General features: G+C 53.3%; 3 protein-coding genes and 1 long non-coding RNA gene across 18 annotated transcripts in view, besides 7 other annotated features; 2 read left to right on the plus strand and 2 right to left on the minus strand.

Moving 5' to 3' along the window:
- Positions 1 to 2,788, plus strand: part of TBC1D14 (TBC1 domain family member 14) — a 123,649-nt gene extending 120,861 nt beyond the window's left edge. For all 15 annotated transcript variants that reach the window (XM_011513508.2, NM_001113361.2, XM_017008477.2 and 12 more), the window contains one exon: positions 1 to 2,788. In XM_011513508.2, the coding sequence (XP_011511810.1) occupies positions 1 to 66 (66 nt within the window). In that variant the 3' untranslated portion in view covers positions 67 to 2,788.
- On the minus strand, positions 228 to 15,905 carry LOC100129931 (uncharacterized). The gene is made up of 4 exons (NR_033828.1): positions 15,333 to 15,905; positions 14,654 to 14,776; positions 4,845 to 4,948; positions 228 to 3,727 (listed from the first exon to the last, which is right to left on the minus strand). It is a non-coding gene; the product is annotated as an uncharacterized LOC100129931 (long non-coding RNA).
- Positions 7,282 to 7,361: a silencer, noted in NCBI's record as "silent region_15243". NCBI's record gives its function as "represses an Ori minimal core promoter by ATAC-STARR-seq in GM12878 lymphoblastoid cells {active_cell/tissue: GM12878}" and the evidence as "EXISTENCE:reporter gene assay evidence [ECO:0000049][PMID:35858748]".
- On the minus strand, positions 10,523 to 12,675 carry CFAP184 (cilia and flagella associated protein 184). Its single transcript, NM_153376.3, has one exon. The coding sequence runs from the start codon at positions 12,610 to 12,612 to the stop codon at positions 10,945 to 10,947; it is 1,668 nt and encodes a 555-aa protein (NP_699207.1). The 5' UTR covers positions 12,613 to 12,675; the 3' UTR covers positions 10,523 to 10,944.
- Positions 12,308 to 12,457: a silencer, noted in NCBI's record as "silent region_15244". NCBI's record gives its function as "represses an Ori minimal core promoter by ATAC-STARR-seq in GM12878 lymphoblastoid cells {active_cell/tissue: GM12878}" and the evidence as "EXISTENCE:reporter gene assay evidence [ECO:0000049][PMID:35858748]".
- Positions 12,738 to 12,997: a silencer, noted in NCBI's record as "silent region_15245". NCBI's record gives its function as "represses an Ori minimal core promoter by ATAC-STARR-seq in GM12878 lymphoblastoid cells {active_cell/tissue: GM12878}" and the evidence as "EXISTENCE:reporter gene assay evidence [ECO:0000049][PMID:35858748]".
- On the plus strand, positions 13,046 to 27,626 carry TADA2B (transcriptional adaptor 2B). Its single transcript, NM_152293.3, has 2 exons — positions 13,046 to 13,523; positions 23,736 to 27,626. Exons 1-2 carry the CDS (start codon positions 13,254 to 13,256, stop codon positions 24,726 to 24,728), a joined length of 1,263 nt encoding a protein of 420 aa, NP_689506.2. The 5' UTR covers positions 13,046 to 13,253; the 3' UTR covers positions 24,729 to 27,626.
- Positions 14,258 to 14,317: an enhancer, noted in NCBI's record as "active region_21271". NCBI's record gives its function as "activates an Ori minimal core promoter by ATAC-STARR-seq in GM12878 lymphoblastoid cells {active_cell/tissue: GM12878}" and the evidence as "EXISTENCE:reporter gene assay evidence [ECO:0000049][PMID:35858748]".
- Positions 15,436 to 15,605: an enhancer, noted in NCBI's record as "active region_21272". NCBI's record gives its function as "activates an Ori minimal core promoter by ATAC-STARR-seq in GM12878 lymphoblastoid cells {active_cell/tissue: GM12878}" and the evidence as "EXISTENCE:reporter gene assay evidence [ECO:0000049][PMID:35858748]".
- Positions 16,345 to 16,394: an enhancer, noted in NCBI's record as "active region_21273". NCBI's record gives its function as "activates an Ori minimal core promoter by ATAC-STARR-seq in GM12878 lymphoblastoid cells {active_cell/tissue: GM12878}" and the evidence as "EXISTENCE:reporter gene assay evidence [ECO:0000049][PMID:35858748]".
- Positions 16,864 to 17,365: an enhancer, noted in NCBI's record as "H3K4me1 hESC enhancer chr4:7048917-7049418 (GRCh37/hg19 assembly coordinates)". NCBI's record gives its function as "activates a minimal SCP1, AML or CMV promoter by ChIP-STARR-seq in naive H9 embryonic stem cells {active_cell/tissue: H9 hESC(naive)}" and the evidence as "EXISTENCE:reporter gene assay evidence [ECO:0000049][PMID:30033119]".
- Positions 27,627 to 27,995: the final 369 nt, after the last annotated feature.

The raw sequence follows: 27,995 nt of genomic DNA on the forward strand, positions 1-27,995 counted from the left end.
GTACTGACTGCATTGCAGAAAGACAGCCGGGAAATGGAGAAGGGAAGTCCGTCCCTCCGACACTGAGGCTGCAGCGGGAATTCGCACTCGGCACCAATCAGAGCCCCATGCCGCGGCCCCTCTGTTGTTTCAGACTGACACCCGGGCAGCCGAGAAGAACAGACGCTCTTTAAGTTTGATTCCTAACACTGGAGTTGGCCTTAAACAAAACAAACACAAAAACTTTTAAAGAATTAAACCAAGGCTTAGCCTTAAGCAGCTCAGTGGAAGGATGAGCTGCTGCGGACCACAGCCAGCCACTGCATCTGCTGCACAGTTGAACGATGGGCAGTGGCTCACCCCCACTCCTTTATTTCAGCAAAAGCTAATTAAATTGTAATGTTTCTATGTCAACTACTGGGAAGTATGTTACAGTCTTAGCCAGGATGCATGAGAGATGTTATTTGGGAGACTTGAGATGCTTTGGCTGATATTTACATGTTTTCGATAAGAAAGGGATCGCTGATTGAGTTATTGAGATAGTTTTTCCAGAGCTGGAGGTCACGTTTCTAAAACTCACCTACGAAAGATAGCATTAAAGGAACAGGGGCTCTCTGAGGATGGCCACTGATGTGTGTTTGTGGATACCTGGGCATCGACCCAGCCTGCAGGTGAGCTCTGGGCCATGTTGCCTTGACACAGTCACAGTGTAGAGGCTGCAGGTGCACACGTGGGCTCCAGTGGGACTGCGCTCTGGGAGACTGCTCCCTGGCATCGGTCCTGCGGAGGTGGAAAGTTCGAGAGGAGGAGCTATTTGCGAGGAAGCCCTGTGGCAATAGAGATAGGCTTAAAAGCGGAGAGAACACAGAGTGGAATCAGCCCCCTGTAAGTAAAAGGGTAGAGAAAGAGATGTGTGGCTGGGCCCTCTCCCACCTGCCTGTTCAGTGGAGGCCAGGGCAGCAGCCCAGAACAGCACATGTGGGGGAGGTGGCCCCTTGTGCCAGCAGTGGCTCCTCTCTGCCTTTGAGCCCTGCACAGCTGGACCCATCCTAAGTGCCAGTGAGTCCCTCACACATTTGACTTTAGAACGTGTGCTTCATGACCCGTTGTACAGACGGAGGAGCGAGCAACACACGTCTAACAGCCTAGACAATCTCGTCAGATGCTCATACTGGACCATCAGCCTCCCCATTTTAGCTGACTTTCCCAGGGTCGTTGGCAAATTTTTTGTTCTGTCTTTTCCTTGACTAATTGTAGAACTTTGTGTGAGGACTTTGGTTATCCAAAATCACAGAAATGAACCGTTTTGCAGCTGCGCAGTCTAAAGGGCAGGCCAGTGTCTGGAAGCAGGGCCCACGTGGCGGTCCGCTGGCAGGCTGGTCCTGGGGAGCATTCTGCGGACCCGGTCACGGGCTTGGTTAGTCATGCGTACATGTGTGCCTTGGGGTGCTCTGCACTCCACGGCCCTTCTCAGCCACACTTCCCACCCCAGGGGGTGCCCCCAGGCTGATCTCATTTCTGATGTTGAGGGCTGTTTGGCTCTGTCTGTATAGCTTGTAACAGGAGCCTTGGGCTAGGGGCTGGGGAAGGAAAGCCGAGCTGGCATTCGTTCTCTGGACTTTTTATGCCTGCCATACCCGCTAATGCTCCTCGAGGTGCAGGAGCAGGTTGCTGAGCCAGTGGCTGCCCCGTGCCCTCCTTCCCAGCACTATCATGTGTCACGTTTCCCGGACTCTGCCCCTACATCTCAGCTGAATCTCCAGGGAGGCTGCAGAGCATCGTGGAGACCACTTTCTGCCTCGGCCTTTAAATGCTGACTCACCTCCTCTCGGAGGAGGCGTCCTGTCTTCACGGGGGGGTCCCGGTGGCCTCCAGACGTAGCCATTTCCTGACATCAAGATGTTGAATGTAATCTGGTCTGAGCTGGGCCTGTGGGAGGGGCCGCCTGAGGCCTGTGCGCTGTTGTCCTCGCAGATGTACTTATTTTTGTTCATGTTACGGGCGTTCCGTTCCTTAAAGATGTATATATTTTCTTACTGTACATAAAGATGTTCCTTAAGTCGTACAGAAGGTGGCGCGGCAAAGGGCCTCGTGCAGTGTGTTCAGATTGCCCCTGGGGATCTTCTGTGTCTTCAGCGCCCAGCCCTGCGTGTTCCTGGTGAAGCAGTTTCACATCAGTCTCTCCAGATAGCACTACGATGTATTCCGCTTCTGAACAGGATCCCATGCCAGTGTGGAACACCTTCCCAATCTTAGTTCAGAAGTGGCTTGTATGACCTGTTCAGGGGTCACATGAGGTCTCGCCAGTTTCCTGGGTCCTCTTCAGAGGCCAGAAAGTTCTAAGTTCTGAGTCCCCGGCCAGGGTCCCTTAACACCTCGGCACAGAGGCTGTTGGCAAGTGTAGAGGCTGCCTCTGTGTGTGGTTTAAGTAAACTGGAAATGAGACATTGACGTGCTGCTCCTCCAGAGGTCTGCACACTCCACTTCACATGCCGTTGACTCTCACAGTCTAAGACTTCAGGGCCGGGACCTTTGTCCAGCCTGCACAGTAGAGTGAGGCTGCCTCTCCCGCCAGGCATTGGGATCCCATTTAGAAACGGCATTCACTTCAGAAGGTACTTTTTAACTGCTCAGTTTTTGACTATTTTAAATAGTTTGCTGAAAACTCCTGATAACACTTGCTACATATCATGTTTTAATTGCTTGTACAGTTAACCTTTAATTTTATTTAGTAAAGTGTATCAAAGTAGGACTTTTTTGAATTGTAAATAGGTGGTTTTATTAAATAAAAGTCAATGTAAAATTGTTACTTATGTTCACCATCGTTTGTTTAAAGTTGAAGTTCTCACTTTGAGCATGATGCTGTTTGAATATCTTAAGATCCATTTATCAGACTGGTTAATAACAGGATGGTGCAGTGGTAGTTGAGTGAAGGGATTCGAGAGTTGAGTGTGCCCCTTGCAGGTTGGAGGGAGTCGCACCCTTGTACCCCCTCTCGAGCTAGCCCCTACCCACTGCTCCTTCCTGGTCCTGCAGCACCCTTCCTGGCGTGCAGCTGGTGCTTACTCTGTGCCAGCCACAGGACCAGGGGCTCTCCATGTTCCCTTCAGAACCTTCTCAGAAGCCCATGAATCAGGCACTGAGGTCTGTCTCCCCAGCAGGCAGTGGGGTGGCATGAGGTGGGGGTCAGTGGTGTCTTCTCAGGAGGCCGTGGCTGTGTGGTGGAAGGCTCCGCGAAGCCACTGAGAACTGGGTAACACAGGGCCCGCCGTGTGGGTGGGCATCGCTCCGCTTCCCGAGGCAGGAGGCTCCCGGCTGGCGGGGCAGAACCTAGGGCAGCTTTCTCTTCTGGCCCCTTGCTCCCAGGACAATCCTTCTGTGTGCTCCATAGCACTCTCCCCAGAGCAGGTGCGGCTGCCCGCTCTCCCGCCTCTCCCTCAGTGGCTGCTCTCCTCTGTGGGCCACTGTTATCTCCTATGCGTTCTCTGCAGGCCATGGTGAGAGGACGGGCCACAGGCGTGATGGTGGCAGCAGTCACAGCCACGCCAGGCGCTGGGCCGAGTGCTGCCTGTGAGTCATCTCTGCAGCTGCTCTGCGGATGACAGGGCTATTGCCCCATTTCAAAGATGAGACACGGCCGGGCGGGGTGGCTCACGCCTGTAATCCCAGCACTTTGGGAGGCTGAGGCGGGTGGATCACGAGGTCAAGACATAAAGACCTTCCTGGCCAACATGGTGAAACCCTGTTTCTGCCAAAAAAAAAAAAAAAAAAATTAGCTGGGTGTAGTGGCACATGCCTGTAATCCCAGCCACTCAGGAGGCTGAGGCAGAATTGCTTGAACCCGGGAGGCGGAAGTTGGAGATCGCACCACTCCACTCTAGCCTGGCAACAGAGCGATACTCAGTCTCAAAAAAAAAAAAAAAATATGAGACGCAGGGAAGGATGTGCGTAGACGCGGACAGTGGTCAGAACTGGGTTTCAGACTCCAGCCTTGTGAATGACTCCCAAGCCCTTGTCAGAAACACCCTCTAGGGGAGGGGGCCTTTGCGAGCCTTGTTCTTGTAGGGCTGACCTCAACTCCAAGTGCAAGGTCTGGGGTGGAGCCTGGACTTACTTATTTGAGCGCCTCCTGTGTGCAGGCACCACCTGCAGAGGAAGAGATGGGGCCAATGGGGCTCATGGGCCAAGCACGGGCTGTGGTGGCAGGAGCCGTGGGATGTCTGCCCCAGAGGTAGCAGAGGTGCAAACATGAAAGGGGCCGGGATGCTTTCCTGAGTGCTGCAGCCCAGGGGAGAGGGGCTGATAGTTTACAAACCACCCCCGAGACGTGGAGCCTGCCAGGCAGGAAGGCACAAAGAGAACGGAACGCTGCACCAGTGCGGTGTGGAGAGGCAGTGTGGACCTTGAGACCAGCTGTGGGTCACCGGGGAGCCAAGGGAAGGGGCTGGCCAGCAGAGGGAAGCCTCAGAGCCAAGGGCCAGTCCTCAGATGGGTCCGTGTTAGGACGCGGAGGGGCTTGCAGGGTTCCCAGGGAAACCAGTGGATCTGCTTTGTGTGGTACAAACACAAAGCTCAAATATTTGCTCATATGACTCAGGCCCTTGCCTGCCTACCAGGAACCTGGCCACGAACTAGAGTGGCCAGATAGGTCTTTCAGGCCCAGAGTGCTGGCCTGCCCCATGGGCTCCCGCGAGCATCGCCTGCAGCCAGCCTGCTCTGGCAGCACCGGCCAGGGCCACACCAAGGCACTGTTTCCCGAGACTTGCTGCCAAAGCCCCATTTTCCAGGATGCCTGAGCTGCCTGGGGTTCTATGTGGAGTGAGGGGAACTGCCTTCTCCCTAAGCATTACAACAAAAGGACTTACTTGTCAACTCAGAAGCATCACTCTGGACTCCAGAACCTCACAAAGTTTATCCTCAAACGTTGTTCCTCCAGCTTCTTGCCCTGCTCTGGAGCTGCTGGTAGAAACTGCTCCAACCAAAAATAAATCCAAGTTTAAGGTGCAGTCTGGCCACAGGTTAAGACAGGGCCCTGGAGATAAATCTCATAACCAATCATTGCCATTTAGGAACTCTGTGACTTTGGGGAATTTTCTTGAATTCCCTAAGCCTCATTTTTCTTTTCTGTTACCAAAGGTTAAAAAGAGTACCCAGCCCTGTCCACTGGCTTATGAAGATCAAACAAAAATAAGCTGAACTACTAATTATATTTTTAAAAAACACCCACAGAAACGTTGCCATGGGTTGGTAGACTCATGCCCTTCACATGGAAACCGTTAGTATCTTATACTCTTGAACTTAAGAATTTTTTTTAATTTGGGATTTTCCTCCTAAATTAAGTACGTTTACTATATAAAATTTGGAAATTCAGAAAAGCATGAAGACAGTTGTTTTTAATTGTACCACCTAGAGAAAAGATACTGTTTTTAAATTCTGATCTTTTTTTCCTATAAGTAAAATTTTCCCATTTTACAAATGAATACATTGAGGCTTAGAAAGCTGAAGTATTTTGTCCCAGGTCCCAGTCAGAAGAGAGCTGAATCCAGCTCAGCCTGATTCCAAGGTCTTAGGAACAAGCTGTGTCTTCTCCTAGACAGATCCTCGTATTCACCCTTGGCATCCTGTGGGTGAAATGTTAGAATACATCGTCAATTTAAAAATTAGGGAGGGTGTAATTTTATTCATTAAAATATGTACATATTTAGCCGGGTGCAGTTTCTCACGCCTGTAATCCCAGCACTTTGGGAGGCTGAGGTGGGCAGATCACCTGAGGTCAGGAGTTTGAGGCCAACCTGGCTGACATGGTGAAATCCCGTCTCTACTAAAAATACAAAAATTAGCCAGGCATGGTGGTGGGTGCCTGTAATCCCAGCTACTTGGGAGGCTGAGGCAGGAGAATCGCTTTAACCCGGGAGGCAGAGGTTGCAGTGAGTGGAGATCATGCCACTGCACTCCAGCCTGGGTGACAGAGTGAGACTCTGTCTCAAAAAAAAAAAAAAAAAATTGAAATTCAATGTAAAATAAAATATGTACATATTTAATCATTGGTGATTTAAAAGTAGACAGTCCTCTGGAGGGAATATTGCATGGAAGTAGGAGGCATGCAGTCAGTTGAAATGGCCTCCTGCAGCCCTTTCCATTCATAGCATTTGTACGATTCATCACTCTGACATTAAGACTATCTGAAAGTTCAAAGCACAAAAAGCACCAAATTGAGGTGCAATAACTCTGATATTTCATGGACAGGCACCCCATGCCAGTGGAGAACAAAATCTAAATTATGACTACAGATGAACTTATTATAAAGGAAGAAAGCATATATCTCTACTTAGATAAATTTTAAATCTCAAATGTGTTAAGTCAGCAAAAATGATTTTCATTTACCGATGAAAAAGTGTTTCCTTGGCCGGGCGCGGTGGCTCATGCCTGTAATCCCAGCACTTTAGGAGGCCGAGGCGGGCGGATCACGAGGTCAGGAGTTCGAGACCAGTCTGGCCAACATAGTGAAACCCTGTCTCTACTAAAAATACACAAAAAATTAGCCGGGTGTGGTGGTGTGCTCCTGTAATCCCAGCTACTCAGGAGGCTGAGGCCGGAGAATCGTGTGAACCTGGGAGACGGAGGTTGCAGTGAGCCAAGATCGTGCCACTGCACTCCAGCCCGGGTGACAGAATAAGACTCTGTCTCAAAAAAAAAAAAAGTGTTTTCTTTTCAGATGCCTCAGGCTCTGTCAAATTAGGTGTCTGGTTTACTCTTGCTACTGCTGCTGAAAAAGAGAAAGCTTCCTGTAACACTGAAGGGGACAGACCTCAGTGTCTCAGTTTTGATTCATACCTATTTTTTCAAGAAAGGTCTAATTTTATATAACACCTCACTCAAAATGTATTCAGTGCCAACGTTTTCTGGGTCCTCTACTTTTTGACGAGGAGATGACAGTCTTTTAAAAAATCATCATGTCTCAGAGGTTTCTAGCCCAGCTGCTGCATTTGGAGCAGCTGCATTCCCTGCTGGCATGAACAACTCTCTTTACCTGTAGTGTCTTCCTACTTTGACTACAAGTCTGCCATTCTGCTATTTTCCTTAACTGGTTCTATGTCTTGCGAGATCCTCTTTTTGCCTGGAATTATTTTTGAATCCAACACAGGACTTACCAGTGCCCGACACGTGATAGGCATTCAAGTAATACTTATTTTCAGAAAACGAGTGAGATGGGCATTATATTAATGTATTAATCCAACGCATTTACTGATTACCATTTATATGCCAGGTACTGTGCTGGCCACTAGGGAGGGTGATGAACCAACAGTCTTTGACTTCCAGGGACTTTGTCTCACTGGGGAACAGGTACCTAAGTGCACCATCACTAAGCAGGAGATCAAAGGCTGAGATGGGGCCGCACACAGGCTTCTGTGGAGGCACTAACAGCTCTTCAATGAGACTTTGGGGATAGACTGCGTTAGGGTCTGTAGAATTCTTCAGAAGTCATTATCAATTTGTGAGTGTGTTGCTATTTCATGATTAAGCACTCTCCTAGAATTGGAAAGAACTGTGGTGGGAGATAATTAGCAGAAGATTACCTTCTAATTAATTGTAACATCTCCAGCATAAGGTACTATAATTTGAGAGAACATTGGTAACTCACTATACAGTCACTTAGGACAGGTTTGCTTTGCACCTTAAAGCCATGGCAGACTCCTTTGTATCTTTGTGCTCTGAGAGATCTGCTTGTTACTGGGTTCAAGTCTGGTGAGGGAGTGTTTGCTTGGATCTGGATAATTGCTGGTGGGTGAAAACCAGCTGAAAATACCTATTCTCCCTGTAGCAAACCAAAGAGATAAAGGACGCCATTATCACGAAAGCCACATGCCTGGTCAGGTCTCGGAGCATCATTGCCAGTTCCACTTGAGGCCTCCCCAACTACAGAAGAACCCAGTGGGCCTGTCCTGCTTTTAGTTTGAGGCACACAGGAAGTTCTGTTCGCCAGTGATTTGCTTTGGCTTTGAAGAAAAGCGTAGAGGGAAGACTAAAATGTTGATGAATAAGTGAGTGAGAATGGAAGCCAGAAGTCAAAGCTTTTGGAGACAGGATCTCACTATTACCCAGTTTGGAATACAGTGGCACGATCACTACTCACAGCGGCCTCCACCCCCTGGGCTCAACTGATCCTCCCACCTCAGCCTCAGCCTCCTGAGGCACTGAGACCACAGGCATGTACCACCACACCCGGCTAATCTTTTTGTATTTTTATAGAGATAGGGTTTTGTGATGTTTCCCAGGCTGGTTTCAAACTCCTGGGCTCAAGTGGTCCACCTGCCTTGACCTCCCAACATGTTGGGATTACAGGTGTGAGCCATGGCGACCGGCCTAAAGCTTTTTAACTCATTACTACTTTTGAGTGGTTTGATTTAAAAAAGTGTATTCGAGCCATGAAAGTTAGAAAAGGAATTTTAATCAACCTTCATTGGCTTCCAAGGGAGCACACTTTACAAAACAAAATCATGGCCGGGCGTGGTGGCTCATGCCTGTAAATCCCAGCACTTTGGGAGGCCGAGGCGGCCGGATCATGAGGTCAGGAGTTTGAGACCAGCCTGGCCAATATGGTGAAACCCCGTTTCTACTAAAAAATACAAAAAATTAGCCAGATGTGCTGGCGGGCGCCTGTAATCCCAGCTACTCGGGAGGCTAAGCCAGGAGAATCGCTTGAACCCGGGAGGTGGAGGTGGCAGTGAGCTGAGATCATGCCACGGCACTCTCCAGCCTGGGAGACAGAGTGAGACTCCGTCTCAAAAAAAAAAAAAAAAAAAGAAAAAAAACACAAAATCATGGCATCCAAAGATAACGTTCACAACCAAGTCCCCTGCCCAGAGTTGGGTTCCCACCGTTCTTCAGAGGTAGCCAGCACCAAAAACCGTGTTGCATTTTTTTATGATTCACTTAAGTGTAGGAGTGGGAGAATATGTTTAACCCCAAATCTGCACATCTCAAAATTCAATCTAGGATTAAGAAGAAATGAAAACAAGCCCCTAGCTCCAAGATAATCACTGATATTGCATTAAGGAAACAGACCTACCAGGTATTTTTGACACAAGGAATAAGGGGCATTTTACTATTTGATACTCAATGAACTCGTGTATAGCAAGGGCCCTGTTGTCGAGATCTGAAATAGACTGATACAGAAGGCTCTGTCTCCTGTGATGCCAGCAGCCACCGTGTAATATATTTTACACCTTGCAAAGCATGCAATACAACTGTCATTTTGTTTTCACTGGAAAACAAAATTTCAGTTTTTTTTTTTTTTTTTGAGACGGAGTCTCGCTCTTTCGCCCAAGCTGGACTGCAGTGGCACTATCTTGGCTCACTGCAAGCTCCGCCTCCCGGGTTCACGCCATTCTCCTGCCTCAGCCTCTCGAGTAGCTGGGACTACAGGCGCCCGCTACCACGCCCGGCTAATTTTTTTTTTTGTATTTTTAGTAGAGACGGGGTTTCACCGTGTTAGCCAGGATGGTCTCGACCTCCTGACCTCGTGATCCACCCGCCTCGGCCTCCCAAAGTGCTGGGATTTACAGGCGTGAGCCGCCGCGCCCGGGCCAAAATTTCATTTTTTGGTACAGATTAATGCATTTCTTCAGAGGATCCAAGAACATGTTTCATTAGACTTGAACACTGTCAGGCCAGGCACGGTGGCTCACGCCTGTAATCCCAGCACTTTGGGAGGCCGAGGCAGGTGTATCACTTGAGGCCAGGAGTTCGAGACCAGCCTGGCCAACATGGTGAAACCTCATCTCTACTAAAAATACAAAAATTAGTTGGGCATGGTGGCCTGTGCCTGTAATCCCCGCCACCTAGGAGGTTAAGGCGGGAGAATCGCTTGAACCCGGGAGGTGGAGGTTGCAGTGAGCCGAGATCCTGTCACTGCACTCCAGCCAGGGAGACAGAGACCCTGTCCCAAGGAAAATAATAATAATAATAATAATAATAATAATAATAATAATAATAATAATAATTGAAGACTGTCATTGAAGCAGAAACAACCATCAACAGTGAGTAGACTGAACTCCCTTTCATTGAAAAAGGGACGATGAAGAAACATCAGCTCCTCTCCTGTTTATCATCTCTCCTGTTTCCTGGATATTTTTATTGCCCCCTAAGCTCGTGCTAGTCACATATAAAAAAAATTTTTTTTTGAGACAAGAGTCTCGCTCTGTCGCCCAGGCTGGAGTGCAGTGGTGCGATCTCAGCTCACTGCAAGCTCTGCCTCCAGGGTTCACACCATTCTCCTGCCCCAGCCTCCCGAGTAGCTGGGACTACAGGCGCCCGCCACCAGGTCTGGCTAATTTTTTGTATTTTTAGTAGAGATGGGGTTTCACCGTGTTAGCCAGGATGGTCTCGATCTCCTGACCTCACGATCTGCCCACCTCGGCCTCCCAAAATGCTGGGATTATAGAGGTGAGCCACCTAGCCCGGCCCAAAATCACTTAAATTTAAGATTAATCTAAGGGGATTAGTGAGCTTCTAACTGAAACAGTGTCTCGGGACTACATAATTTAATAAATCCAAAGAATTTAATAATTAGCTTAATGCACAGGGTTTTTTTGTACCTTGCCCATTCGCTGAACTTTTAAACCCTCCTACATATGAAAGAGGAACAGTACTCTTTAGTATTACATCACTGAAATTATAGAATTGCTCAGACTTGAGACTTTTGACAGTTTTTCATGAGAAGTCAGTTACATTAAATCACCCTTTGTTTGCTTTTCTGGACCTATTTTTGCTCAATCCCAGATAAAACTCCTAACCCAGGTTTGGGCTCAGCACTGATTTGGAAGCTAAAACGTTTTGAGATAAATACAAAATAGAGTCCCGTCCCAAATGACACAGGCCTTTTTAATAGCAACGAAGGTAAAATAAAGCAGGACAGCACGTCCTGAGGATGAAGTGTTTTGCAGACTCTTCTCATCGATCTGGTCAAGAAGGGAGAAAGGCTTTGGCCTCCCTGATCTTCTGCCTCACGCCTCTGCAGGACAAAGTGAGGCTAGCGTGGTGGCGCTTCAGGGATTCCAGGCGCCGGTGAAGCAGTTCGGTCTTGTCCACCTTTTCTTCCAAGTCCCGAAGAAGTGAGTCCTTGCCTAGAAGGCCGCACTTCTGATTCAGTCTGATGTTGTCCGTCCGCAGCCCCTCTCGGGCTTGCTTCGTCTTGGTCAGGATGTCTCTTCCTAGGGCGGCCTGGGCCTCGATTTCTGCCAGCTGTGTCTTTTTGCACGCGTTCTCCATGTCCATGAAGTGCAGCTTTTCCTTCACGTGGGTTATTACTTGCACACTGTTGGTCACCTTGCTGCGAAGTTTTAAAAGTTCCTCATTTCGTTCCTCAATTTTCTCATTGAAGGTTTGGTTCTCAATCTTCAGCTGTTCAAAGTCAATAAGAAGCAGACCCTGGGTCAGGTCCTCCTGGGTCCTCATCCTGGTTTCAAAATGCACCAGGCTCTGCTTCAGCTGAATGTTCTCCAGCCGCACGGCGCTCATCTCCTTCTCCTTTTTATCCTCCAACGCCTGGATCTGCTCCACCTCTCGCAGAGCAGCCTGGCGCCCGCCCCTCATCCGACAGCTGCCCATGGCCTGCATCACCACCTGCTTCTTGAGTGCCTGGAAGCGTCGCCACTCCTTCTCCACCCTGGTGAGCTTCTCCTGGCACTGCCGCTTCAACTGGCCCAGCTCCTGGTGGTACCACTGCAGGTCGTCTGCCTGCTGCTTCTTCAGCTCCTCCAGCATGCCCAGATGGCGCAGGTACGCTTGCTCTTTCTCGGGGGCCTCGGCCTCTGCGCCCCGGTCAGCCACCTCAGCGGCCTCCAGGCCCTTCTTTCTGCGCAGCGCCTCGAAGATCTTGTGCTGCAGGTATAGGTTGTAGCGCTGGGAGCGGTTCCGCTCCACCAGCAGGGAACGGTACTGGTCCAGGAGGTCGCTGCGCAGCTGCTGCTCCTGCAGCTTCTGGACCTCCTCGGACCACTCGAGGTCCTCAAACTCGTCCCTTCCATAGAGGCGCTTCCCCTCTTCCTGGCTTTTGGCCGGGCGTCCTTCCCCATCCCTCTCCTTGCTCTCCGCGCCGTCTCTCTGCGTCTCCTCCTTGTCCTCTTCCTCCCCCTCCACCCGCTCTGTCTCGGCCTCCGGGGCTGCAGCAGCCTCTTCCTCATCGATCCTGGTCAGCGGCAGAGAGGCCTGGAACCTGACTTCCTTCCCCTCTGCCGCCTGCTCCAGTTCCTCCGCCCCCGCCTCCGCCTCTAGTTCCTCGGGCCCGGCTCCGGGCTCCGGCTGGGCGGGCTCCTCAGCCCCAACCTCGGCCGGCTCTTCGGGCTCGGGCTGGGGCTCGGCCGGCCTCCCCGGCTCTCCAGGCCCCTCCTCGCCCGCAGCCTCGGCTGCCGTTAGCCCTTTCGGGGCCTCGGCCTGCTCGTCCGCGGCGGTGCCTCCCTGCGAAGCCGCTTGCTCCTCCTCCTCCTCCTCCGGCTCCGACTCCAGCTCCCCGGGTTCGGGAGAGGTCGGAGGGCCAGAGCTGGCCTTGATCTTGGACGGCCGCGCGGCCAGGCTTTCCCCGTCTCCGCCTTCCCCGCCGGGGTCCTTAGTGTGCTCAGAGCTGACGTCCATCTCCTCCCGGCTCGGCCAGCGCAGCGGACCCCGGCAGGACGCTGTTAGGTTTCCCGGGGCAACAGAAGGCGCGCGCGCTGGGCCCGGCGATTGGCCAGGCGACAGGCCGTCGTCCAGCGCCTTCTCCCCGCTGCCCGGCGAGAGCAAGCCAATGGGAGGCCGCGAGCTGACGATAGGCGAGATTGATTGGAAGCGGCCGTGGGCTCTCGCCGCGAGGGGCGTGGCGCCCCCGCCGGGCTTTCTGCCTGCCCATTTCCCACCGCCGGGCCTGGGGCGGGGCGTTCAGGAGGCTCTGGGAAAGGCGGCGGTGGCCGGCGCGGGGGGCGCGCAGGCGCAGAGCGGCGGGCCGGGCGTCCGCAAGGTGGCGCCCGCGGGGCGCCTGCGCGATGCGGCGGGGCGACAGCTGCGGCGGCGGTGGCGGCCGGGCCGGGCCGGACGGCGCCTGCGTACTGAGGGGGGACGCGGCCCGGCTGGCTGGCTCTGGCGGCGGCTGGGCTGGGGCCGCGGTGGCGGCAGCCGCGGCGGCGGGCGGCGGTTGCTCGTGCGCGGCGGCGGCGGCGGGTCCCGCGGGCGGCGGGGCGCTGACGGCCGGGGGCGCGGCGGCTGCGGCGGGCCGGGCGGCGGGCGGCGAGCGGGGGAAGATGGCGGAGCTGGGGAAGAAGTACTGCGTGTACTGCCTGGCCGAGGTGAGCCCGCTGCGCTTCCGCTGCACCGAGTGCCAGGACATCGAGCTGTGCCCCGAGTGCTTCTCGGCCGGCGCCGAGATCGGCCACCACCGCCGCTACCACGGCTACCAGCTGGTGGACGGCGGGCGCTTCACGCTCTGGGGGCCCGAGGCCGAGGGCGGCTGGACCAGTCGCGAGGAGCAGCTGCTGCTGGACGCCATCGAGCAGTTCGGCTTCGGAAACTGGGTGAGCGGCGCGACGGGGGCCGGGTCCCGGCTAGGGCACTGGAAGGCCCGCGCCTCTCCTGTAATCGGGCGCGCAGGCAGCGCTGGACCTGCTCGCTCGCTCCGCACCCCAGAAGGCCCCGGAGGTGGGGAGGGCGACGCTGCCGGTTTATAGTCGGGCACCTGTCGGAACCTATGCTCTGAGAGGCTGTGACGCGCCCAAGGTCACACAGCCGAGACGGGGCCGAGTGGGGCTTTGAACGCTGGCTTCTGACAGCAGAGCCATTTCCCTCACCTTCAGGGACGCCTTCACAGGCGTTTGCGGAGTGCAGACGTTGGGCAAGACTCGGTGCCTTACCTGAGTTCGTGGAGACAGGCAGGCCCACAGACTCGACAGAAAGCGGTGGGAGCACCAGGGAAGGAGAGCGGTGGGCGCCCTGCGGCTTGTCTCGGGGTCTCTGGGGCGGCCCCGTTTGCTTTCTGTCACTGTATGCATGTGCCCTGTGTGGTCCGCAGTGCACAGAGTCTTTTGTGGGTAGCGTGCCTGGTTTATGCTTGGGTCCCCACAACCCACGACCTTGTGCGAATGGTCAGTAAAGAATGAACAAAGAGGCCTGGCCTGGGAGGCCTGGGGCTTGGGTTTTGCTCTCTTTACCTTTGAGGTTTCTGTAGAGACAGCCCTGTGTGGGGAGCGGTGAGAGCTGGACTGGATCCACTTACGCTAGCAACATCGTGTGCTAGGTTCTGTCCTTGAGAGAGGAACATGGTTCTCTCTGGGCGGTCTCTCAGCTCTCCTTCCACTCTGGAAGCTTGCATCCGTATTAGAAAGGAGAAAATCTCTAGCCGTATTCCCGCTCATAACCACCAAAGACATGTGGCCATCCCCGGGCACCCTGAGGAGGAGGGGAGTGAGACACCCCCAGCGCCCTTAGCTTTCCAGAGTCTTCCCCTGCTACACCAGGTGCCTGCTTCTCGGAACAGCATCCATCTCGCTGCCACCTCTCCAGCAGTCCTGCCTGGGCTGCTTTGATTGCCTTTTGCTTTCCTTTCCTGAGTGAGTCTCAGGGCCGCCTCACATACTCATTCTGAAGCCCTGGAATGTTGATTCTCCTCCCAACTCCTTAGAGAAGATGCTCCTTTACAAACCCTTACCTAATGGCCACCAGCACTGGGATCTCCATTTTTCAGAAACTCCGTCCCACCTTGTCCTTCCATGCTGTTTGTGGATATGCACTGAGCATGTGTTCTGTGCGGATTCTACAGTGGCGGAGAACTCTGAAGGAAAGAGAAGGCTTTATCCCTGCATTCAGGGAGCTTAAAGTGTGGTACTGACTTGGTCCTAGGCCCAGAGCTCTTCCCTAGCACCAGCCCTCCATGTCCAGCCGCCTCCCTGGCCTACCTGCCTCTCTTAGTTCCTTGTTCCACTAAGTTCCTGATCCAATTTATCAGCTGTCTCCTCACAGTACATGCAGAACAAACCACTTCTTACAGCCGTAGTCCCGGCTGATGTTTACGTTTACTTCTTGCCTTGACCACTTTGGGAGCCTCCTTGTTCGTTATTCCCCCTCCACCCCATTCCCCTATTCCACACACCATAACCGGAGCGAGCTTTGGAAGCACAAAGCGCCTCACACCGGCCTCAGTGGCTTTTACTTCAATTAAGGCAGCTTTAGAAGTGTTGAGCAATGAGATCTCATCTGTTACCTCCCTTGATCGTTTTATATTTCTTCTACCTAGAGTGCTCTCCCTGTAAATCATGGCCCAGGATTGAGCTTTCCACTTAAATATCAGTGCCTCAGAGGGCCCTTCCCTTCACCATCCCAGCACTTACCTCTACGTTAGCTGCTAAGGAGGCGCAGAGCCTTGGTGGCATATCTGTGCGTATCTCAGGACATTTTCCCGACAGCCCTTGGCAGTTGGCTTTGGACGGACCAGTTTGACTTCAGAGCCTGTACTCTTAACTTCACTGTCTGCACTGCCTTCCCTGCGGCACTGTGGAAAATACACAGAACACAAGACCTGGGGAACAAAAACATCTATGTGGTTTTGGAAGAAACCAGGCTAGAAGTGGAGAGGCCTCTTCTAAAACAATACTTTCCGAACGAATGTGCACACAGAGCACCTGGGGAGCTGGTGAAAATGCAGATTCTGACTCAGCTGGTAGAGGAGGCAGAGCCAGGACAGGAAGAGAATGGGGCTGGGACTTGGTGCACAGCGAGCCTGGCCAGGCTGCGGTCAGGGCGTTCTCCCGTTGCACCAGCGCGAGGTTACGGTGAGGCCTGAGAGCCTGCATTGCAACCAGGACTCAGGGGGTGCACTGGCCCGTGACCACCCACCCCCCCGGAGTGGTGAGGCACCAGTATTTGGTCGTGCTGCCATCTCCCTGGCAGAACCTCGTTGCGTTATCCCCCGGGACTTTATTTTTCTTCCTCTGAGGCTGTTCTGCAGCTCTGAGATGGGTGGTGCTCTTCTGAGCATGTATCCAGCTATGTGCACAGAGCTGGCGTGTCCCACTTTGGCATATTTAGCCTCTGCCCGCTCTGGGCCAGGCTCTTCCCATATGTGTCCTGTGGGATCTTCCTAGCAACCCTCGGGGGTGGGTTCTTATTCTTACAGTTGAAGAACAGCAGCTGTAAGAAACTAAGCGCCTTGTCAGGGATTCCATGGCATTCATGTGATAGAGCCAGGAATGAACGCAGGCCTATGTGATTCCAAAGCCTGGGCCCTAACCCATTCTGGGTGAGAGCATTAAGCAATGTGGGTCAGAGGCTGGGAGGCCATCGGTGCCACCGCAGGAGTGGCAGAAGGGCTTGACCTGATTCACTGGAGATTAGTGTGGAGGCAGGGCCTGGACTCATGGGCTGTGACTGTGAGTGTGGAAGGAGATGGTGTGGGGGCTGGCGACAGTGATGTGACGAAAGATGAGACCTGTTGAGTTCTACTTTCAGATGGCAAATGGTGACACCTGGCCTGGGGGTTGTACAACTACATGTGGGATTCATGGGAGAGGGTGGATTGTGGCCAAATCTGGCAGCTTTGTGGTCACATTTTGTACCAGGGCTGGGGGATGGGGCCTGAAGGGGACGGGATGTAGCTGAGCAGGGTTAACAGTGACACCTGGGGGCTTAGGGACAACCCGTGTGCTGGTGTGTATGTTTGATAGCGAGGGGCAGAGAGAACAGGTTAAAGGACCTTGGCTACAGTGGGTAAGAGTTGGCAAGCAGTGGCCTAGAGTCAGATTAGCGGGGTCTGGCGTCTCTAGAAGGCCGGTTTGTGATGGGTTCTGCGCAGGATTCCAAGAGTTAGAGGATGCAGGCCCTGCTGGAGCACAGGAACACAGACGCAAACACAGGTGACAGCTGAGGGCAAGTCGCAGTGGTGGCAGAGGAGCCGGAGCTGTTGATTGGTTGCCAAAGAAATTGGGCTGACACTGAGGAGCTTTAGGAGGGCCAGTGCTCCTCTGCAGGTGGTGGTCAGGAGGGCTTTGGCGGGGAAGTGGGGTTCAAGCTGGCCCTTGTGGTTTTGAATCAAATGAGCATGTGAAGTTCTCTGTGAACCATGGAAGGCCTTGTGCACACACGTCAACACTCAGGCTCCTTCTTGGAGCCAGGTGGGGTGTCCTGAGTAGAGCTGCACCCTTTGAGATGATGGTGGACACCCAGGAGGTGGCAGAAGGCCAGACACATCGATGGTCACTGCCTTGTGCGTGCATTCATTCTCTCGCTCATTCATTCAGTTAGCACAGCCTCGGGGCCTGGTGTGCGCCAGCCCCTGTGGTGAGAACAGGCTAGGAGGAAGACAGCTGCCTCACCTGGCAGGTGCCGTGTGGGCAAGTGGGCCTCAGGATGTCCTGCGGAGGGAAGGACACAAGATGGCTGTGCAGGTAGAGGAGAGTGTGGAGGAAGGAAGGGTTTTGTGTTTTAAGAGTCTGGTGTATTCAGGGCCAGGCAAAAGCCAGCTTGGGGTGAGGGAGGAAGCTGGTGAAAAGCCCTGGGTGCTGGGTACAAGAGTGTTGCTGGCTCAGGCTCTGTGATCACGCAGTGTCTGCTCGCCAGTGCCAGGCCCTGAGCAGGTGCTTTGACACGCGCCCCTCTCACCATCTCCCCGTCCCCTAATCCCTGAGACAGGTGCTCCCCACTTTTACAAACGAGGAAACAACTGTGGGTGATGTGGGAACGTGGAATTTCAACCCAAGGCTTCTGACTCCATGCCTAGAACCATCCGTTTCATTGTTCACCAGCCATGCCGCAGGATCCCCTAGAATTCCCAGGGATCCCCTGAGATCTGCTGGATTGTCACCTCTGAGGCCGAGGTCTGGAAATTTGGATGGATGGAAAGAACCCCAGGGAGCTGTGAGGCATGGTTGGGAACCATGGGAAGTGGGGACTTACCTTCCCCGCCGGGGCAGGAGCCTCCACTGTGCGGGCTTCCAGGGATGACCATTAAGGATGGCGGGAGGGGGAGGGAGAGCCCGGATGGGAGAGTGGCTGGGAGGGGCAGGGCACGCAGAGGTGGTCTCCAACTCCAGCCCACAGTGGGACACCCAGGATGCCTGGTTTACCTGAGTCACCCCCACCTCCCAAGCTGCTGAGTCAGGGGTGGGGCTTAGAATCTGCATTTCTAACAACCTCCTAGGTGCTGCTGATGCGGCCGCCGTGGGACCCCACTTTAAGAACCACTGGGGTAGAGTGGTAAGACATGTCACTTTATAAAACTTCAAAATTATTTAAAAATATATTGATTTTTATTGTGGTACAATACGTGTAACATAAAATTTACCATTTTAACCGTTTTTAAGTGTCTGGAAGCATTAAGTCCACTCCCAGTGTTGTACAGCCATCACCACCAGCCACCTCCAGAATTTTGTCATCTTGGCAGACTGAAACTCTGTCCCCATTCAACACTCACTCCCCCTCCCCCTTCCCCAGTCCCTGGCACCCCCATTCTACTTCCCGTCTGGCGCTAGGGACCTCAAATGCGTGGGTCCTGCAGGATTTGTCCTTTTCTGACTGGCGTATTTCACTTTGCCTCATGTCGTCAGGGATCATCCGTGTTGTGGCATGCGTCAGCACGGCCTTCCTTTCATGGCTGAACAATCCCTTGTCATCTGTGTGGCATAATGTGTTTATCTACATAGCTGTGACGGACATTCGGTTGCCTCCACCTCTTGGCGAATGTGAACAAGGCCGCTATGAAGATGGTGTTGAGGGATCTCGTCAAGTAAATAAAAGTGGAATTGCTAGGTTAGGTTCTGTGTGTAATTTTTTTTTTTTAAGGGTTTCGCTCTATCGCCCAGGCTGGAGTGCAGTGGCACAATCATGGCTCACTGCAGCCTCCACCTCCTGGGCTCAAGCGATCCTCCTACCTCAGCCTCTCAAGTAGCTGGGACTACAGGCATGTACCACCACACCCGCCTAATTTTTAAATTATTTGTAGAGACGGGGTCTTGCCATGTTGTTCAGGCTGGTCATGAACTTCTGGGCTCAAGTGATCCTCCCGCCTCAGCCCCCGAAAGTGCTGGGGTTAGGCTAAGCCTGGCCTTGTGTGTGATTTTGAGGAACCGCCCTGCTGTTTTCCACAGTGAGGAATGCCACTTTCAAAATCTCTGTCACAGTTAGCCTTATCTGACCTGAAGGTGTCAGTCACCTTGAGGGCCAATGACAACTCTAAGTCACTGAGGTCTCTGAGTTGAGAGAGACCTAGAACTGAGGCTTGCAGGGCTGCCCACTGGAACAGGCTGGGGGCAGTGGCCAGGGACAGTGGGGTCTCCGAAAGGTCTGACACCTGGAAGCAGTGGCTGCAAAGCCAGTAAGTCCCCAGCCTCTGGCATCAGAGGGATGCTTGTGCTGAGAGTTGAGCTGTTAGAGCAGGGAGGAGGGAAGGGGAAGATACAGGGGGTGACCCGGTGTCCTCAAGTTGTCTCTTTAAAGGTGACAGACAAGGCTGAAAGAGGGAAGAGCCAGGGGCCACCGCATGGCCGTGACTGAGTTGGTGTGCCAGCCCCGAGGGCTGTTGGCATCCCACGCCTACCTTTGCCCGGCCGCTCTGTCCTGCCGCTAGCTGCAGGTGGCCCTAGTTGTTGGCCCAGTGTCTGAGGCTGAGCTGAGACTGGAGGTGCTGAAGTGACTTTGCTGTGGAATGTGATGAGGACAGCCTAGTCAGCCTGGAGCCCATGCGGCATGGAGGTGCGACTTGGAGCTCCTAAGAGGGGCTGGTGGCCTGGGTGGCAGGTGGGGCCCTCCCATGTCTGCACGCTTCTGCGGAGTGGCCAGGCAGGTGACATGTCAGGGCTCTCTGACCTGTGCAGATGGGAAATGCACGCGTGGGCTCGGCTTGGAGCCCTCCCGCGCTGCCACCTGTGGCCTGTGGTTGGTGTGTTTCTTACCTTGCTCTGCCCCTGGGGCCAGTGGTTCCCTCCTGTCCTTTAGGACATAGTCCAGTCCCCTGTCCCATGGATTCCATTGCCTCCTGGCCCTGCAGGGGCCACCAGTGTGCCCAGCTGCTCCTTGAGAGCTCTGCCCGCTGAATGCCCTTCCCTGGTGGGACCCCTCCCTTACACCGAGCTCCCTGGGGAACTGAGCCTTCCTGGCTTTTTGAGACTTCTTCATTTGGAGAAAAAGGAGCTGGTGCTGGGCCTCCCTTTGGAGACGACGCCTGGCCCCAAACCACCGGGAGAAGCCCAGCTTGTGGCCGGGATGAGCTGTCCTCTGCCTCGTCCTTCACAGACCAGATGGGGGTGAGGAAAGGACAGCAGTGGGGCCACCGAGGGACAGCAGAGCCGCAGGGCTTTGCGGCATCGCCCGGGACAGGAGATGCTCCGGAGCCTGCAGGGCTGGCAGCCTCGGGCACGACGCCGGGCGCAAAGGCCTGCGTTCACTGCACATCACGGGGGCAGGGTCAGCCTGAGCTGTGGCACGTCTCCAACGTGCTTGTTCCAGAAAGAAGAGCAGAAGCCCAGCGTCCGGCTTCGCTCTGCCTCTCATCACAACATCGGGAAGCGGCTAGGACCCCCTTCTGCTGTGCGCTGCATCGTGGGATGGTGGGGGGCGCGTGGCGACGGGTGTATGCTCCCAGCCACATTACCTGGTGTGGAAGTGGCTCAGCATTCACTGGTCTTGTGCCCTTGGCAGGGGCTCACCCTCAGGTTTACTTTCCTTATCTGAAAACCGTAGGCGGTAACAACACTCCTCCTCCGTGGGAAGCGCACGGGGTGAGTGGGATGATGGGCGTAGACGTGCTTATCTGCTGTTGTTTTAAATTTTATTGGTAAAACCTGCAAAAGGAGGGCTGGCAGGTCAGGAAACAAGCTGAGAGGACCACAACTGATGGAAAGAGTTGAGCCCGGCCCTGGGGGTCACTGAAGGCTTCCTGGACCCGGCGACCTGGTCTTGGATAAACCTTCCCTGTGGGAGGGAAGCTAACAGCATCCAGCGCTGGGGAAAGCTGCCGTGACCGAGCACACGCTGTGGCCGCACCTGCCTCCTCACTGCCCTACCAGGTGGACCCCAGCCCCTAGCCTGGGCACGAGGAGCAAAGGGCACCTCCAGCAGGGTGGGCGCTGCCAGGCCTCCAATGTCTGGCTGGGTGCTGGGAAGCTCCTGACAGGTGCGAGGCAGGAGCCAGGGACAGCTGTAGACCCCACGAGGCACACTAAGGAGTCCAGCTGATGCCGATGGGTTTGTGCTCCAGACTTCCAGATTTTTGAAGGATTTTGGAGGCTGACCTAGTGTTGCTAACTTGAAAATCTGCCAAGTAAGTAAGTTTTTTTTTTTTTTTGGTTTTGTTTTTGAGACAGAGTCTCGCTCTTTCGCCCAGGCTGGACTGCAGTGGCACTATCTCAGCTCACTGCAAGCTCCACCTCCCGGGTTCACGCCATTCTCCTGCCTCAGCCTCCCGAGTAGCTGGGACTACAGGCGCCCGCCACCACGCCTGGCTAATTTTTTGTATTTTTAGTAGAGACGGGGTTTCACCATGTTAGCCAGGATGGTCTCGATCTCCTGACCTCGTGATCCGCCTGCCTCGGCCTCCCAAAGTGTTGGGATTACAGGCGTGAGCCACCGTGCCCAGCCGTAAGTAAGATATTTTAAAAACATCTCTGCAAGTGAGAAGTCTGCAGGCCTCTTCCTGCTAGTCTCACTGGCTTGAGACCAGGGCCAATGCCAGGGGGGCCCCACTGACTCACCTTGTGACCTTGGGTAAGCAAGCCGGCACCACAGAGCCTCTGGGACGAGGGGGACACCCAGCCTCACGTGCCTGGGAACCTGGTGCAGCAGCCATCGGAGCCTCCTGGAAACTGGCCTCTTGAGTCGGCTGTGTATGCAGCAGCCCCTCCGCAGCCTTGGACAGAAGCTGGTGTCGAGGGCTGGAGAAGCTGCACAGGCCAAGGCCGGCTCTGCCCCTGCCGCCCGCCTGCGCGGTGGAAGCACAGACGTGAGGCGTTGGGATGGAAATTCCCATCTTCCAGGCACCCCAGGATGTTCACCCAGGGTTTCCACCCAACATGACCCTTTCCTTCCTAAAGGGCGGGCGTTAGGGACTGTTGTTCCGTTAGGTAGACACGGCCTGTAGTTATCTGTTTCAGAGGCCATTGCGGTTCCTGGGGCTCCCTGGCCCCAAGGTTGTCGGGGAAGAGCATGAGTTCCTGGTGGCGTCTGCCCCGGCTGCTCCATGAGAGGGGACTTCGCGCTCGCTGTGTGGGGCCCACTCTGGCCCTGAAGGCTTTTCTTACCCATGTGAGGTGTGTGGGGCTGCACGTGTCTCCTCTTCTGGCAATGACAGACCCGAGGCTCAGAGATGGGCAGTGACCAGCCTGGGTCACACAGAGTGGCAGTAGCTGCCGGCAATAGTTGTGACTTGGTGTTGTGTTTTGTTTTAGGCCAAATGCTTCCTGGGGAAATAAAATGAACAGATTTGCTACAAACGGTGTTTTTAAAAGAAGCAGTCATTGTCCCCAAAGACCAGAATCAACATTTAGCTCTAATATTTTTACTTTATGATTCTCAAAGAGGCCCACAGTTGAGTTTTGGCACTGCCTTCTGTAGTCAGAGTCCTGGAGATTCCTGGGCCCCAGGTGGCGGGGGGAAGGGTCCAGCACCTCGGCTCCAGGCATGTGTGCCAGAGGAAGCCCCAGCTGTGGGATCCCATCCGTTCCTGGAGCCCAGAACACTTCTCTCCCAGACGCCAGCTCATAGTCATCAGCCTGGATGGGGTGGCGGTCCCTCTGGTTTCAGCTGGGCCTCTGGCAGTGCTGCAGGCAGCGCTGCAGTGCTGGTTCCACACCCAGGCGGGCAGAGGCAGGTGGGGGCTGGGTGGCTGAGAGGCGGTGGCCAGGGAATGAGTGCGCACTTTGGGCAGTTACTTTCTGAAGTGGCTTTAGCGGTTGACTTTGAGGAAGAGGCCTCTCGGCAGAAGGAAAAGATTGAGGGAGTTATACAGTTTCCTCCCATTAAACCTTGTATTTATGGGTTACCCTCTTGTAGGAATGATGAATGCTTTCAGCCAGTGGCAGACTCCCAGCCAGCTGCTTAACCGTGGAAGGTGCTAAAAATGAAGGCCTGCTCCCTTGAAGAGCCACAGGCCCATCTTCTGCAGTCACTGCCTAGGAAAGGGCCACGCCAGCCCCCCCGGCGCATGAAGGCCAGGATGGGTGTGCGGCCAGGACAAGCGTCACAGAGGTGTCCTGGCCCTTGCTTTTCCAGCGGGTGGCAACATGGTAGAACTGGGTCCCCTCCTGCAGTGCCGTGGACTTGGCCTGGTCTCACACCCTGGCACAAGCCCGTTTTCTAGTCTGAATGAGGCGAGTTCAGGCATTCCTTGGCCTGCCCTGCTGTCTCCTGGGACATTCAGACAGCCCCTGAGTGCAGGGTTTATGGCAGTACCAGGTGGGCTCCTCTGGTCGCAGGTGGGGAATGAGAACAAAGTCCAAACCTCAGCCAGGGGTTCTGGCCTCAGCTCTGCCACCAGCTCACCCCAAGACCTTGTGCCAGCTTGTGCCTCTCTGGGTCTTCACTTTCTCATGTACAGAATCAGCATGTGTTGTTGCTTCAACATTGTCATCTCTCCCCTGAGCCCAGCTCATAAGACAGTGTGTGACTGAATGCCTTTGGGGAGGGTGGGTAACGGTGCTGTAGGAAGTACTCTAGGTCAGCCTTTGTAAAAACGTGAAGAGAATCTGTGCGGAACCCAAATCTGGCACCCTGATGGTGGAACTAACTTCTGCCCTTTGTCATCGTAGGAAGATATGGCTGCCCACGTTGGTGCTTCCCGGACTCCCCAAGAGGTGATGGAGCATTACGTGAGCATGTACATCCACGGGAACCTGGGGAAGGCCTGCATCCCCGACACCATCCCCAACCGCGTGACAGACCACACCTGTCCCAGCGGAGGCCCCCTCTCACCCAGCCTCACCACCCCGCTGCCCCCGCTGGACATCTCTGTGGCTGAGCAGCAGCAGCTGGGCTACATGCCGCTGCGGGATGATTACGAGATCGAGTATGACCAGGATGCCGAGACGCTCATCAGCGGGCTCTCTGTCAACTATGATGACGACGACGTGGAGATCGAGCTGAAGCGCGCCCACGTGGACATGTACGTGCGGAAGCTGAAAGAGAGACAGCGGCGGAAGAACATCGCCCGTGACTACAATCTGGTGCCAGCCTTCCTGGGGAAGGACAAGAAGGAGAAGGAAAAGGCGCTGAAGCGCAAGATCACCAAGGAGGAGAAGGAGCTGCGCCTGAAGCTGAGGCCGCTGTACCAGTTCATGTCATGCAAGGAGTTTGATGACCTTTTTGAAAACATGCACAAAGAAAAAATGCTCCGGGCCAAGATCCGAGAACTGCAGCGGTACCGGCGAAACGGGATCACCAAGATGGAAGAGTCGGCAGAGTACGAGGCAGCGCGGCATAAACGGGAGAAGAGGAAGGAGAACAAAAACCTAGCCGGCTCCAAACGGGGAAAGGAGGACGGCAAAGACAGCGAGTTCGCCGCCATTGAGAACCTTCCAGGCTTCGAGCTCCTGTCAGATCGCGAGAAGGTGCTCTGCAGCTCTTTAAACTTGAGTCCAGCCCGCTACGTGACTGTGAAGACTATTATAATTAAAGACCACCTCCAGAAGCGGCAAGGAATCCCCTCCAAAAGCCGCCTTCCTAGCTACCTGGACAAAGTCCTAAAGAAAAGGATTTTGAATTTCCTCACAGAAAGCGGCTGGATCTCCAGGGACGCGTCTTGAAGCTGAGACGCTTTGAAAGCCAGGGTGATGCTCAGACAGTGTGCCAGCCAAAATGACTTGGGGGAGGGGAGCCGCTTCCCCACTGTTGCTCTTTTTTAAACAAATTGAGTTCCTTTTTTTAAGATAGAAATTCTTTTCATGGTCCTCTGAAAGAAGCAATAGTAACAATCTTATATTGGATCATGGGGGAAGCAAATGTGTGTATTTTAAGTGAGTTCCTGCGAGTCATACACTGCGATGATGCTCCGCCTTTACCCGTTCAGTTGGGAGCTTATTGTGAGATTGGATCATTTCCTTTTGAGTGTTCTTCTCTTTGGTACAAAAGCTATTGTGGGTGACAGGAGCAGTGTTTTCCTGCTGGACCCGCAAGCCACCAGCTATTTCCTGGTGACACAAGCTCTTCTCAGGCGGGGCTGCCTGCAGGCTCCCGTTTTCTGAGCCCACGCTGCCCACAGCTGACCCCAGCGCAGCCCCGGGCACGCGGCACTTTACATGGGGGCAGCTTGGGCCCAGACTCCTCCGCTGTGTAGCAGATGAGGAAAATCAGGCCAGAGGACAACAGGCTGGCGTTTTGTTGGGAACTGAAGAGGAATCTGTTGAACACAGCGACCAGATGACCTTCCATTTCACCGGCGGCAGCAGTTTCAGCGTGCAGTTCCCAAACCCCAAAGCTGACCCTGCGCCCCATTTGAATACGGCCAGAGCCTGCTGGTTCACTTTGGGTAGAGCCGTGCCTCTTGGGCAGGCTCCCATAGTGACCACGTCCCCACGAATGGGAAAGCACGTTAGTGGGAGGGACGTAGGACACGTGTGGACCGCCAGGCCCTCTCAGTCCATTTTCCGGGGCTGCTCGGTGCTGCTGTTAAGACGTGAGTGCATTTCACTTGGAAGAACCCATTGTACAAAGTTCAAGGCTAAGAGTTCTGAATTCTGGCGTCAGCTTCCTCAGGATTTTCTTCAGTTGCAAGTACCTTTCCACTGAAAATATGAGCATGCCCGCCTGGCTAGTAGGCATCTGTAAGAGTGTCGCCAGGCCCGCGCCAGCTGAGGCCTCAGACTAGCCAGGCAAGAGCCGTCTGACCAGTTGGCTGGCGGTGGTTCTGGTGGAGCACGAGGGAGCCCGGGTGGTGCCCTGAGCCTCGAGCTGCTCTCTGTCACTGTCTTGAATCAGACTCAGAAATGGCTTCTTCCCAGCCCTGCCTACAAGTTTTTCTCTGGGGTCCTCTTTCAAGGATGTCCACGGTACCTTCCTCCTGAAACTTGAGGAAGTCTTTTGTCTTCCAGCTGCTCAGGGTTCTCTGGTCCAAGACCCTGCTTTAAAGAGAGTCTTTGGCGTGCTCAGACTCCAGCGCTCCGTTCTTCAAGGAGGTTGACTTGCCTCTCGGGCCCCGTAGGTACCAAGAGACTGTTTACCTCCCAGAATGTTTGGGCTTGAAGTTACATTAAAGTGAAGTTATTTGAAAGAAAGAAAACCTCATCATTTCTAAGGATGACTTAATTACTGTGCCTTTTCCTTTCTTTTTACACATCCTACTGTCCCTTAGGGTAAAATTTTCAGCATTAAATAAAACATTTCAAATATATTGTATATGGCTTTAGTTGTAAACTATACTGCATGCTGACAGAGAAGCGCTCTTTTAGCTAAGCCCAGAACTTCTCTTTTGACAATAAAGTACTGAGCAGTGGTATCATGAGGGCCACCTCCACATTGTCCCCTGCAGAATAAATGCGGATGACAGAAAGCTTATGCTGTCTACCACTGAACAGTGATGGAGATGGTGCTAAGTTTTTACAGTTGTCTTAGCCCCAGTGGTTCTCAAGGTGGGGCTCCTGGCCCAGCAGCAGCAACTTGTTTGTTAGAATGCAGACGCGCAGGCCCCACCTGGCCTCCTGAATCAAAATGGTGTGCGGCAGGGTGCAGCGAGCTGTTTTCACGAGGCCTCCAGGTGACTGGATGTAAGCTTGCTTGAGAACTATGGGTTTTAGCTATTCTGGTGTCTCCCTGATTTTCTACAGCGCCAGGATCCTAGTTTGGTGAGGTTTTAAATTTAATCTTATTTTTATATAAAATGATTGCCAGACGTACTATATTAAGCTTGAAGAAGCAGAAGATCCCTGTTAATGTGTATGGCCCAGGCCAAGAGCTGTCAAATGAAAAACTTTGTGCTGAAGCAGGTTTTTAGTATGTATATCTTTTTGATGGTATGAAGAATTTATTTAGGCTTGACTGTTTTAAAACACCATAATGAATGTATAATTAATTTATGTTAAAGTATTAACCCTTTGTCACAAAGGAATGGTAATGTGATTGGCTGCCTGTTAGCCCATCGACTATTCCCGTCACGGTAGTCCTTACCTCTGTCGGCAGCTCAGAGCCTCCACATTTTTATATTTAATTCTCATGATAAATTAGCCACCATAATCCCATGGAATTAGGTCTTGTTAAAATCTAGTCCGGGCGCAGTGGCTCACGCCTGTAATCCCAGCACTTTGGGAGGCCAAGGCGGGCTGATCACGAGGTCAAGAGATCGAGACCATCCTGGCCAACATGGTGAAACCCTGTCTCTACTAAAAATACAAAAATTAGCTGGGTGTGGTGGTGCATGCCTGTAGTCCCAGCTACTTGGGAGGCTGAGGTAGGAGAATTGCTTGAACCTGGGAGGCGGAGGTTGCGGTGAGCTGAGATCACGCCACTACACTCCAGCCTGGTGACAGAGCAAGACTCCATCTCAAAAAAAATCTAAGCAAACTATCTTTGAGTCAAAAAAAGTTGGATAACTCATCTATATTTGAAATAATGCTGTCTGAATGGCCAACATCCCAAGAATGTATTAAAAACAGCAACCCTGCCTACCGTTTTGATGACCTTTTTCCATATTAAACAAGTTGAGAACAAAAGAGTGTCACCGCTTGCTTCTTACCTCTGGTTCTGAAATCAGATGTCTTCTTGGAGCCACACAGAGCTAGGGGTGAGCCACAGTTCAAACACAGATACAGATTGTCACATGACGTACTTTTGGTACTTTGTATCAACCCAGTTTTTCCTCCAGAAGATTAAAGTTGCTTTGTCTTTTTTTTTTTTTTTTTTTGGGGAAGAGTCTTGTGCTTGTTGCTCAGGCTGGAGTTCAATGGCACAATCTTGGCTCACTGCAACCTCCGCCCCCCCGGATTCAAGCGATTCTCCTGCCTCAGCCTCCCAAGTAGCTGGGATTAACATGCACCCACCACCGCACCCAGCTAATTTTTTTGTATTTTTAGTAGAGACGG

This window comes from Homo sapiens, chromosome 4 (genome assembly GCF_000001405.40).
Source record: "Homo sapiens chromosome 4, GRCh38.p14 Primary Assembly".
NCBI lineage: Eukaryota > Metazoa > Chordata > Mammalia > Primates > Hominidae > Homo > Homo sapiens.

Coding starts and splice junctions, on each gene's coding strand:
- TADA2B (NM_152293.3), top strand. CDS start 13,254: ATGGCGGAGCTGGGGAAGAAGTACTGCGTGTACTGCCTGGCCGAGGTG. Junction 13,524..23,735: donor AGTTCGGCTTCGGAAACTGG/GTGAGCGGCGCG, acceptor TTGTCATCGTAG/GAAGATATGGCTGCCCACGT.
- CFAP184 (NM_153376.3), bottom strand. CDS start 12,612: ATGGACGTCAGCTCTGAGCACACTAAGGACCCCGGCGGGGAAGGCGGA.